Below are 13,549 nucleotides of genomic sequence, written 5' to 3' on the forward strand. Positions count from 1 at the left end.
TGTAGGCTGGGAGGCTAGGCCAGTCTAATCTTTTCATATTTCTGCCAGCTTTAAATTCGCTGGCAGCTGATCAGATTGTGCCCACAGGATGAAGGGTGGGTCTGCCTTCCCCAGCCCACTGACTCAAATGTTAATCTCCTTTGGCAACGACCTCAGAGACACACCCTAGGTCAATACTTTGCATACTTTAATCCAATCAAGTTGACATTCAGTATTAACCATCACAAGTCCACCCCTTTCTCTTTCTTTTTTTTTTTTTTTTTTGAGATGGTGTCTTGCTCTTGTCACCCAGGTTGGAGTGCAAATGGTGCGATCTTGGCTCACTGCAACCTCCGCCTCCCTGGTTCAAGTAATTCTCCTGCCTCAGCCTCCTGAGTAGCTAGGATTACAGGTGCCAGCCACCACACCCAGCTAATTTTTGTATTTTTAGCAGAGGCAGGGTTTCCCCATGTTGGCAAGGCTGGTCTCGAACTCTTGACCTCAGGTGATTCTTCCGCCTCGGCTTCCCAAAATGCTGGGATTACAAGCATGAGCCACTGTGCCTGGGCAAGTCCACCCCTTTTCAACTTGAACCCATACACAACTCCTGAGATCACATATAATCTTCAAATAAAGACAATAATGTCATAATTATGCCTAACATAATACAACTGTCCTTTGTACAACCAGAAATGGACCAATCCCCAACCCAAATGCTATTACATAAAGTTAACAATATTTAAATGCTGATATGAAGTCAATAAATCTTATGTCACATGATAAAGGAAAAGAAAATAAAATGAAGATATTTTCTTAGTACAAGTGTATACATGGACAAACATATTTTTAACAAAAGAAGGTGGAAATACTCATGACAGTTACAGTCCTTGGTTCTGCCGCTGGTCACGTGGTCATCGTTGGTATTGATGACTACCTTCTTTTACTACCCATTCTGTATTCCCTTTGCCTTTAGCAAGCACCTCAGCAGATCACGTTTTTTTTTTTCCTGGTGGAGTGACCCAAACCTTCAATCCTCAGGGGTCTGGACCATTTGTAGTCCTTCCTCGATTGCGCTATTGTAGTTTCCCATTGACCTTAATCATAGGACATGGTAATACTAAGAGATGCCCTAATGGATCTCCTGTATTCCATGTATACTCTTCCTTATCTTCGTTATGGAGTAGTAGACTGATTTCATCTTGATAGTCCGGGTCAATCACCCCAGCCAACACTGTAACTCCCTTCTTAGTCTGTTGACTTAAACGTAGGAGGAGCCCAAAGTGTCCGGGTGGCCATCTTAACTTCCAGTTTAATGAAATCGTTGTTGTGTCTCTTGGTGGCAGCGTTCCTCCCTCTGGAGCTTAGACCTCTAGGCCAGCAGAACGTAATGTTGTGGGAATAGAAAGCAAAAATTTTGCTAGTGGATCACTAGGGATGATGGTGAGTGGTTCCACTTCCACTTCCACTCCTTAATTCCTAGATCCATTAATCCTGGCTATGAGAGAAACAGTACCATATATTGGATGCTGATTCAGAGCATACACGGCCTTCTGGAGAACTTTGCCCCAGCCCTGCAAAGTATTGTCACCTAGTTGGCATTATAATTGTGATTTCAAAAGGTCTTTCCTCTGTTCTACCAATCCAGCTGCTTCAGGGTGATGGGGAACATGGTAAGACCAGTGAATTCCATAAGCATGAGCCCACTGCTGCACTTCTTTAGCCATAAAATGAGTGCCTTGGTCAGAGCCAGTGCTGTGTGGAATACCATGACTGTGGATAAGACATTCTATGAGTCCATGGATGGTAGTCTTGGCAGAAGCATTGCGTTCAGGATAGGCAAACCCACATCCAGAGTAGTAAGTGTCTATTCAAGTGAGGACAAACTTCTGCCCTTTCCATGTTGGAAGAGGTCCAGTACAATCAACCTGCCACCAGGTAGCTGGCTGATCACCCTGAGGAATGGTGCCATATCGAGGGCTCAGTGTTGGTCTTTGCTGCTGACAAATTGGGCACTCAGCAGTGGCTGTAGCCAGGTCAGCCTTGGTGAGTGGAAGTCCATGTTGCTGAGCCCATGTGCAACCTCCATCCCTGCCATCATGGCCACTTTGTTCATGGGCCCACTGGGCAATGACAGGGGTGGCTAGGGAAACAGGCCGACTGGTGTCCACAGATCAGGCCATTCTATCCACTTGATTATTAAAATTCTCCTCTGCTGAGGCACTCGTTGGTGAGCACTCACATGGGATATAAATATCTTCACAGTTTTTGACCACTCAGAGAGGTCCATTCTTATACCTCTTCTCCAAATTTCTTTGTCACCACCTTGCGATTGTGTAAGTTAATACTTAATAAACTCCCATATATAGATATATAGATATATCTATATATGGGAGTTTATTATATAATATATATATAAATGCTGATACTCTGGCTACTGCTATCACTGTGATTAATAAACTCTTCTTTGTCTCTGACGGCAGTCTCTTGTCTTCTGCTAACGTCCATGCAACTATGACAGGTTATCTTGTTAGCTTGCAAGTAGGTAAAATCTCAGATGCTACATAGTTCCTGACAAACATACTTAGTAATAAATGCAAAAAAAAGTGCCTCGACATTCAAAATTGTAAACATTACTGACATTAAAGAAAACATAAATACATAGAGAGACATAAGATTATTATTGATCAAGAGACTCAGTATTAAGATGTTCATTCTTACTATATTTATAGATTCAATGCAATCCTTTTCAAAATTCCACCAGGCTGTTTTCAAGAAATACATAATACACAAGATCATTCTAAAATTCTTATGAAAAGTTAGAGCATTTGAAACAGTTAAATCGATTTTGGAGAAAAAACATTGGGAGACTTGAACTATATGACTTTAATGCTTACAGTAAAACTAGAGATAGGGTGCGGTATTCATGTAATGTCAGAAAAATAAATGATGGAAGAGGCTAGAGTCCAGAAACAGACCCAAGGATTTATAGCTGAGGTTTGACAAAACTGGCAAACTCACTGGATGAGGGAAAGAAACGTATTTAACACATTTTGCTGGAACCACTGAATGTCTACATAAAAAAAAAGTTAATCGAGACCACTATCTCAATTAACATGCCCAGAAAGAACAATTGAGATAGATCATAGACCTAAATTTAAAAATCAGAACCATAAAGCTTCTCAAAGAAAATTCACAACCTCAAAGCTGACAAAGATTTCTTGGACAGGCTAAGATAAGCATAAACCATAACATTTAAAAAGAGATAACTAGACATTATCAAAACTTAACATTTTGGCTCATCAAAAGTCTCTGTCGAGAAATTAATAAACAAGCTACTATCTGGGAAAAATATTCACAGCATATACATCTAAATAAAAGACTTATATACTATATAATTATAATACTATATCTAATATTTCATATATAGTACACACATACACATATGGCAATAAAACTCCAAGCAATTCAACATAAAAATCAGAAAGATACATATGAATCATCAATAATCACATGAAAAAATGCATAATCTCATTATCTATCAAAGAAATTCAAATTAATACCACAGCAAGACATCATTTTTACCTACTATGATGGCTAAGATAAATATGACTGAAAAGATGAAATGTTACCAAGGATGTCAAGCAACTGGAACTCTCCAGAATTTCTAATAGGGTTATGAAATGGAATAACTCTGACAGTTTTTCAAAAAGTTATCTATATGCTTGCAAAGAAATCCAGCCCCTAGGTACTTACCAAGCACAAATAAAAACATATATTTACACAAAGACTTGTACTCAAATATTTATAGTAGATTTATTCATAATAGGCAAAATTTTAAATAACCCAAATGCCCAACAGCAAATGAATGAATAAGCAAATAGTAGTATATCCACTTAAATGAAATAATCTCAGCAATGAAAAATGAAACTACGAATACATTCTGCAACATGAATAAATATAAAAATTATAATGTTCAGCTAAGTGATCCAGACACAAAACACTACACAGTGTGTTTAAATCCATTCATATAAAATCTACTTAAGGAAAAGCTAATATATGTTGAAAAAATCAGATAATTTAGAACTGGAGAGTTGAGTGGGAAGAAATAGTGACAGAAAAAAAATTCAAGAATAAATTTTCTAGGGTAATGGAAACATTCTATGGCTTTTTGGGTGGTGGCTAAATAGGTATACATAATTGTTCAAAACTTATCAAACTAAACATTTATGCCCTGTTCATTTGCTTACATATTACTCACATCTCAGCTAAAATATCAGAATATGTTTTATGGAGGTAGAAAAATTCACTTATTTATTCATAGGTATGATGGAAAATATTCAGACTCTAGTAAAGTGGGTACACATTTATCATGAAATAGACTGAAAGAGAACTGCTGTGTTTATTTGGTTTGAGAAGTAAAGGAACAATAATCCTCTGCTTTGGCAATGTCAGCATAAGTGCTGTGCAATAAGACAGTTGCCAAGGCTAAAGCTCTCTCCTTATAGTTCTAAATGGTGTTCTATTGTACACTGCAGATTTAGATAGAGACAAGTGGCTAAATGATTATATTGGTTATCTATTGTTGCATTACAAATTACTCCAAAATTTAGTGGCTTAAAACGACACCCATTTGTTATTCCATAATTTCAGTGGGTCTGGAATCTAGGCAAGGTTTAGCCAGGTTCTCTACTTCAGGGTTGCTCACATGCCAAAATCAAGTGGTCAGCAGTCTGTGGTCTCATTTGAAGGCTCAACTAGGGAAGGATTTTCTTCTAAACTTACTCATATGGTTTTCAACAGGATTCACTTCTTCAAGGGCTGTTGGCTGAAAGCCACCCTCAGTTCCTTGCTGTAAAGAAGACAGAGAGAATAAGTGCCAACATGAGGGGGAGAGAAATAGATAGATAGAGAGAGCAAGAGAGTGCAAGAGAGCAGAAGCATACAAGATGAAACTTTCAGGCTTTTGTAACCTAATCCTAGAAGAAATATTTCATGATTTTGCCTTATTGTACCCATTAGAAGCAAGTCACTGGGTTCAGCTACACAGGAGGTGAGGATCATTAAAGATTGTTTTAGAATGCTACCTGCCAAGATACTTAATAATGTGTCTAGGTAAGGAGATACTAAGCATAATATACTATTTTAAGGAAAATTATATTTTCTGGACTTCAGTATGCATGAGTTCTTTTACCTTAGTGTTGAGAAATTTGCATGATGCTATAGAGAAAATATAGCAATATTTAAATATCTTCATATTATATAGTTGTTAAGATATATATATATATATATATATATATCAGATAGTTGTATAATATAAACATTGACTGATAGGGGAACAAAATCTTTCAGAGTCATAAATTATTAAACTTCCACTACAATTTGTAAAATTAAGTACTAAAGGGAATATGATCTACATAAAGTAATTTAACTTGATTTTGTTTTTACTTAAGAAGGCGTGCAGTGCATTTTATTTATTTAATTTTTAATTTTTGTGGATACATAGTGGGGGTATATATTCATGGAGTACATGAAATATTCTGAAACAGGAATACAATGTGTAATAAGCACATCAGGATAAATGGGGTATTCATTACCTCAAGCATTTGTCCTTTCTTTGAGTTATAAACAAATCCAATTATACTCTTGTTTATAAATGTGCAATAAATTATTGTTGACTGTAGTCACCTTACTGTGCAATCAAATATTAGATCTTATTCATTTTATCTTTGTTTTCATATCCATTAACCATGCTCTATCCCTTCACACCATCACTACCCTTCCCAGCCTCTGGTAACCATCCTTCTACTCTCTATCTTCATGAGTTCAATAGTTTTAATTTTTAGCTCCCACAAATAAGTGAATACATATGAAGCTTGCGTTTCTGTGCCTGACTTATTTCACTTAACATAATGCCCCCAGTTCCATCCATGTTGTTGCAAGTGACTGAATCTCATGTTCCTTATGGCTCAATAGTAGTCCATTTTGTATATGTACTATATTCTTTTTTATCCATTTGTCTGTTGATGGACATTTAGATTGCTTTTAAATCTTGGCTATTGCAAATTAACTAGATTTTTTGAGTTGACTGTATCATTTTCAGAAATATAAATTTGTGTATTGTGTATTTTAATAGTTTGTGTAGATATAACTTGATTGTATGAAAAATTAATTACTTATTAGCTTGATAAGTCAATGAAAGAGCTCATCTCAAATCACCAAAAAGAATTATTTAACTTAAAGTAGATTTTTAAAAAGTATTGATTTTTAAAGAATTTATTAATTGCAATACTATTATGCACTTAAAATATGTAGGATAACAAAATAATTTGAAAATCTTTCTAATATTAAAAAAGTATATCTTTTATACAATATTTGGAAATTTCCATTTGTCTTCTATTGGAATAGAAAACTACATGTTCATAGATAGGTAAACGTTTTTATTAATATATTAACTATATTAGTTAAGCTTTCATGTTATCCATAATCCTGAAAGCAAGATTCTTTTAAGTAGAGGTTATCAGTTTTTGGAAGAATTTTAAGAAATCAAAGAATGACGTTATGTTCACCAGAGACAAAAAGATGAATGTTGTTCATTTTGTCTCATTTAAATATGTGCTATTTTTCATATATCTGTTGCTTTGGGTCAAATGCCACTAAGGAAATATCTGAAACTGCTGATTGTTTTGCTATAATATTTCCGTTTACTCTTGGATTAAGGTTTAGGATTCTCTGATTAATCAAAAGTCTTCTCTTTCTCTGTTGCCCCATTGTCTATACTGAGTGGGGAGAGGGACTGGGAGAGGGATGTGGCTCCTTGATATAAAAATCATTGAGTCTCGGAAAGCGTGACTTTAGCAAAGCTGAAGAAAGAAAGTGATTTATATTCCTTATGCTAAACTAAAAATCAGAATCACAATTTGAGTTAAAAATCCTTCCCGTCTCTACTAAAAATACAAAAAATTAGCCGGGCGTGGTGGTGTGCGCCTGTAGTCCCAGCTGCTCGGGAGGCTGAGGAAGGAGAATGGCGTGAACCCAGGAGGCGGAGCTTGCAGTGAGCCGAGATCGCGCCACTGCACTCCAGCCTGGGTGACAGAGGGAGACTCCGTCTCAAAAAAAAAAAAAAAAAAAAAAAAAATCTCCATAGCCTTGTTTTGAAGCCTTACTTTTGAAAATTACACTTAATTTTTTAAATGCCTTTACAAAAGTGATACTAAGAAAATTTCAGACCCTCTTCAAGGACTAATTTATCAGAAGGAAAAAATCTGGGTGGCCGTAAGAAGCTGCTTCTGTCTGGTGTTGAAAGCATCAGCTCCTTTGTATGAAAGAGACTTAGTGTCTGTAACATTGAGCAATCACAGACAATGTCCGTCAGTCAGTATCTAAGAGAAGAGTACTGTAGGTCTGAGTGCATACCAAATGAGATATTCTAGAGTCATTCCAACAATTGTAAATTGAATGGTTTCATTTTGTAATGGTTAGTTTCAACCTTACCTTTTTATAATCTTTGGCATTTATGTTTATGTTTTACATGGCTTATATATTTCTTTTGACATAGTTTAATAATTATATCTTTATAAGCACCATTCTCTTTCTTTTGTTTAAAAAATTATCTCTTACTCATTAGTGGGCTTTCAAAATACCAGCTTCTTGGTTACTGAGAGACCCAGAAGAGATTTGTCTGCTCTTCAGAAACTAAAAGATAAAAAAGAATATAGGATAAAAAGAGATGGACCAAGGGCCTCTAGCCGAGGTCACACTTTAACAACACTATGGAACCTATGAAGTGAAGCAACACTATTCTAATATTGGTGGTGCAGTTTATAATGTTAATGCAAGTGAGCCTTCTAAGAATACTGTTTTTTTTTTTTTTCTATCATGTGAATTTTTGCCAGCAACATGCAGCCAAAGGTATCTTGGACATACTTCAAATGGGTTTTTGTCTGATCACTTAAAGGGAAATTGCATGAACGGTCTCATTGTTAGGGAGTAAAGCCCTATAATAGAATACTGAGATGAACTAAAAACTTCTGGAATGTATAAATGCCCTATTTTGATACGCGTTTTAAGAAATACAACAGAGCAGCCATGAGATTTGTTCTCTGAATGTCTTGCTTCTGTCTTCTGTATCTTTGCACATGCTGCATTATTTTCCCGTCCTTTCCTTCTTTCCATGATTAACTCCTACTCAACCAGGGTGTCTTCTCCAAACCCATTTTACTTCTCAAATTCCTTTCTCTTCAGGTTGGGTTTCGTTCTGCCTCTTCCTTCCTTCCGCAGAACCTAACTCCTACCTCATAGTGTGAATCTTCCATGAAGATCTTTTTTAAGATGAAAATCTTATTTTAATCTTCTCTTTATATCTTAATCTTCTCTTTACTTGGCCCTTTCCCCTACTCTACTTTTAAGTTCTGTTAGAGCAGGGACTTTGTCTCTTATTTATTTATTTATTTATTTATTTATTTATTTTTGAGACAGAATCTCATTCTTGCCCAGGTTGGAGTGCATTGGTGCTATCTTGGCTCACTGCAACCTCTGCCTCCCAGGTTCAAGCGATTCTCCTGACTCTGCCTCTCGAGTAGCTGGGATTACAGGCACATGCCACCACACCTGGCTAATTTTTGTATTTTTAGTACAGACGGGGTTTCACCATGTTGGCCAGGCTCATCTCAAACTCCCAACCCCAAGTGATCCATCCACCTTGGCCTCCCAAAGTGCTGGGATTACAGGCATGAGCTACAGCGCCCGGTCCTTTGTCTCTAATTCTATGTGCCTCCTACACACTCTCATAGCATTCCATCATTTTCATCACTAAACGCTATTTGTGCTTATATATTTGCATGTGTGATTACTTGATTAATGTCTATCTGCCTCATGACTAAACTTTATAGAGCCAGAACACATCAGCTTTCTTTCCCATTTTATTCCAGTGTTTGCAAAGCAATGAATCTCTGTTGTTGAACAAATGTATTGCTAGGACCTAACAGGAAGTCTGGTGTACAGCAAGCACTCAATATATATCTGATGAATAATTAGATGCGAATTTCAGTTAAAGTCCAAGCTTTTTAACTTATAGAGTGGAGATGACAATACATTTAATACCAGTTACACAGAGTTATCCCAATGATAAAATTGAGTGATGTGTGGTTAAAAAAAAGTGTACATTTTAAGGGACTCTGTATATGGGAGTGATTATAATGAATGCTAAGAGATGGACTGGAGCTGCAGAGGTATTGGGACAGACATATGTCATCCTCAAAAAAAGGTTTTTTTGATGAAAGAACTGAGTTCCTTCAGGAATTCAAGAGTAAGATTGCGTTTCTTCTTGATAGGGAGAGAACAGCAAAATTTGAATACTTAACGTTAGCACACTGAGCCTAAATCGTCTCAATTTCACTGTTCCTAAAGACAAGTTGTATTGGTTTCCTGTGGCCACTGTACCAAATTACCCCCAAAATTTGTAGTTTAAAAGAACAAAATATTATTCTCCCAATCATAGAGACCAGAAGTCTGAAATTGAGGTGTTGAAAGGCCATCCTCCATCTGGAGGCCCTAGGGGAGAATCCACTCCATGACTCTTCTGATTTCTGATGGTGGGACAGCTTCTTCTGCTTGTGGCCATTTAACTCTAACCTCTGTGTCCATCTTTATGTCACCTTCTCCTCTATGTCTGTCTTCTCCTCTGTGTGTTGCTTATAAGGATAGTTGCCATTGAAATTAGGGCCTACCTGGATAATCCAGGAGTATCTCTTCATCTCACAATATTTACCTTAATTACATCTGCAAAGACTCTTTACCCAAACAGGTAACATTCACGGGTTCTGAGTATTAGGACATGGACATATCTTTTAATGAGCCACCATTCAGCTCACTACAACAGTCTATACAGATTGAGTATCCCTTATTCAAAATGTTTGGGACCAAAAAGATTTTGAATTTTGGATTTTTTCAGATATTGGAATATTTGCATATACATCATGGATATCTTGGGGCTGGGACCTGAGTCTTAATATGAAATTCATTTATGTTTTATAAAGACCTCATACATGTAGCCTGAAGAGAATTTTATATAATAATTTTAATAATATATGTGACCTGTCACATGAGCTCAGGTGTGAAATTTTCCACTGTGGTGTCATGTCGGTTCTTTGGATTTTGGAGCATTTTGGATTTCAAATTTTTGGATTAGGGATGCTCAACCTGGGAGAGCTTAGGTAAAACAAACAAACAAACAAACAAAAACCTCACCTTTGTATAGATTTGCTGTTTCAACCAAAATTTTCCAGTGCTGCTGATCTTAAACACAGCCAAACTAAGTAGTCCCTTCTACCTAATTTTAGGTATTTTAGGGATATGTGTAAGGTACTCCTCCCCCAGTATATATCCCTACAACATCTTCATTTCTTCTGATAATTTTATTACATTGCCTGATAATCTATCAATACAAATTCATGTAACACTTTTATTATGATGATGATTATTTTTGGCAGTGATGGTGGTAGCAGTAGTAGTAAAAGTTGTCATAATGATGGTCATAGTCATTATTTTGAAGCCCTAGAGCAGAGTTGAGTTAATCAGCACCTTGGTATATGGTACATTACCTTCACTGGTCTGTGCAAGGCCTCCCTTTTTATGCCTATGTTTGTCTGCATGTATTTATTTGTTCTCCCTAATTCCCAGTCTCAATTCTCTTCTTTGTCTCCTCATAGGTTAGCATTCTCAGATGTTTATGTACGTCCTTGTTTGTGTGTGTTCTTATAAAATGTGCTCTGTTTTCCCTGCACGTATTTTTAGTTATTAATTGGTTCTGAACAAAAATTACATTTTGCTTCTTACATGTTTCACTAAGTATCATTTTTAGATCTATTTTGTTTCTACATGTGTTTATCATCTGTTCCTTCTAATAGCTACACAATACCCCATGCTCTTCGTCTACATAATCAACTTTCTGATTTCCAAAGGATGGCTGCCTAGGTTGACTTCAGCTCCCTGCTATACAAATAGTGTGGCAAGAAATAACCTGTCTATGTCTCCTTGTGGTCCTAAGTTCATTTTTGAGGGTCTGTGAAGATAGAGACGTAACTGTTGGGGGTAGAATTAAGAAGATCATGAGTTATTCATATACTTGTATTTAACATGTAAAATCAAATTTATTCCGTATAATGCTTGGCCCAGATTTGCACACTGTCTAAAGTTGAGAACCTATGGTAACAAGAAAAGAATATAGAGCTGCAAGTGCCGGGGTGACAGATGGGCTGTTCGAAGTAGGAGAGAGAAGAAGGATGGGAGGTGGAAGGATATTCAGGAAACCTTCACTTTTTCCCGGAGTTCATTATAGGTCCCATGCTTGGGTGAACAATATACAGTCATGCATAGCTTAATTGATGGGGGTATGTCCTGAGACATGTGTCACTGGTTGATTTCATTGTTGTGTGAGCATCATAGAGTGTACTTCAACAAACCTAGATGATATAGCCTACTACACCCTTAGGTGGTATGGTATAGTCTACTGTTCCTGGGCTATAAACCTGTACAACAGGCCAGGCATGGTGGCTCACGCCTGTAATCCCAGCACTTTGGGAGGCTGAGGCAGGTGGATCACGAGGTCAAGGGTTCAAGACCAGCCTGGCCAAGGTGGTGAAACCCCGTCTCTACTAAAAATACAAAAATTAGCTGGGCGTGGTGGCAGACATCTGTAATCTTAGCTACTTGGGAGGCTGAGGCAGGGAGTTGCTTGAATCTGGGAGGCAGAGGTTGCAGTGAGCCGAGATCATGCCACTGCACTCCAACCTGGGGGACTGAGCAAGACTCCATCAAAAAAAAAAAAAAAAAAAAAAAAAGAGAAACAAAGAAACCTGTACAACATGCTACTCTACTGAGAACTGTGGGCTATTGTAACACAATGGTAAGTATCTGTATATCTAAACAAAAAAAAAAGGTAGAGTAAAAATATGGCGTAAAAGATAAAAAACGGTATGCCTGCATAAGGCAGCTCTGTTACAATCTTATGGGACCACTGTCATATATGCCATCCATTGTTGATTGAAACATTGTTATATTGCTCATGACTGTAGTTTTGTTGCAATCCTGCTTTTTAGATTTAGCATGTATTTCTTAATACAAAATTTGGAGAAATACGGGCACTGATTCAAATGTCACAGTTGATATTTTCTTTCTTTATCTGAGAATTTAAATGAGTTTAGGGGTTATAGTAACAAAAGAATCCTCATCTTCTACACCATTTTAAACATTTTTGTCATGATCATCATGCTAACATTATTTTCAACTGCAGTTTCAGCAGATCAGTCATTATTTTCAGGAGCTCCTTGTATTTAAAATTTTCCACAATTTTCATTCTCCTGGTATATCTAGGTTCAGTTTCTAAGTATGAAGCAAATGTCTACTTATTGTCTACTGCATATGTTATGGCCATTTTCATTTCTGTCTTCAGTCATGTTGCTTTTATCTGACAAGTACCACTGTATGCCTTAACATCTCCCTCCCTTCCTTTAAAACACAAGAAGGAAAGTACAGTGACAGCAAGGAGAGACCCTGAAGGCCAGTGCCCCAGGCCAGAGAAGTCAGCCAACTGAAAGGGACACTAACTGAGACCTTGGAGAGGACTAATTCAGCAACAAGAGATTTTATGCCTGGTTCTTTGGTTACCCATTCACAACAGAAAATCTTTGGAACTTCAAAATATAACAACAGGCATGACCTTACTTCGCCATCACTTAGAAATGATGGATTCATTTACGTGCATTATCCAGATAGCTGGAGCAAGAAGCCTGGATGACAAGAAATTTAGGCTCCTAAGACTGGCTCTGTAATTAATCCACGAACTGACCTTTGCCAAGTCATTTAACTTCTCTGGGGCTTTCACATTTCTTTGTCTTTGTAAGTGTTATTTCCATCTGGAATTCCCTAACTTCTTTGACAGGCAAATTTACTCATCGACAATACTCAGTTTGGTATTATCGTCTTTCTGAAATGTACCCTGACTCTCCCCACCTACGCCTGAGCTGAGTTAGGTAAGTGCTACTTCCTTTTTGCTCCTGCAGTATGGTAAGTGTTTGTGACTGTTCTGCTGCTACATTGCTGCCTTCTTCTGCCTCTGGCCTTATAGACTATGAACTCCCAGAAGACTAAAACAGTATTTCTTCTATACTTGAAACTCTAGTGTCTGGCATGTGGTTTGACATGTAGTAAATGTTCAACATATGTTTGTTGAACCTAGTAAGTAAACTTTATGTCTTTGTATTTTTCTATATGTTAAATGAAGGAGTTGGGTAAGACTGGTGATTTTTAAACTTTTAAAAAGCGGAAGAACCAGTTGTTTCAGTTAAAATTTAAGAGAAGGACTAATACATTATGGAGAAAAGGAAGAAAGTGCTCTACTCTAAGAGCAGGGTTCCAGAAACCTGCGCACCTGACCTTCCCTGCACCTGATTGCACCTGACACAGTACTAGGAGGTGGAGGAATGCGATCCATACAGCTTGGCCTGGAATTGTGATTGCTAATTTCCCTTGCAGCTGTAAAATTGTCATTCTGTGGAATTTACTCTTTCAAGTA

The 13,549-nt window shown here is 37.2% G+C and overlaps 1 annotated feature.

Annotated features, from left to right (window-relative positions):
* Positions 12,648–12,737: an enhancer, noted in NCBI's record as "active region_26523". NCBI's record gives its function as "activates an Ori minimal core promoter by ATAC-STARR-seq in GM12878 lymphoblastoid cells {active_cell/tissue: GM12878}" and the evidence as "EXISTENCE:reporter gene assay evidence [ECO:0000049][PMID:35858748]".

Source organism: Homo sapiens, chromosome 7 (genome assembly GCF_000001405.40).
Source record: "Homo sapiens chromosome 7, GRCh38.p14 Primary Assembly".
NCBI classification, from domain to species: Eukaryota; Metazoa; Chordata; class Mammalia; order Primates; family Hominidae; genus Homo; species Homo sapiens.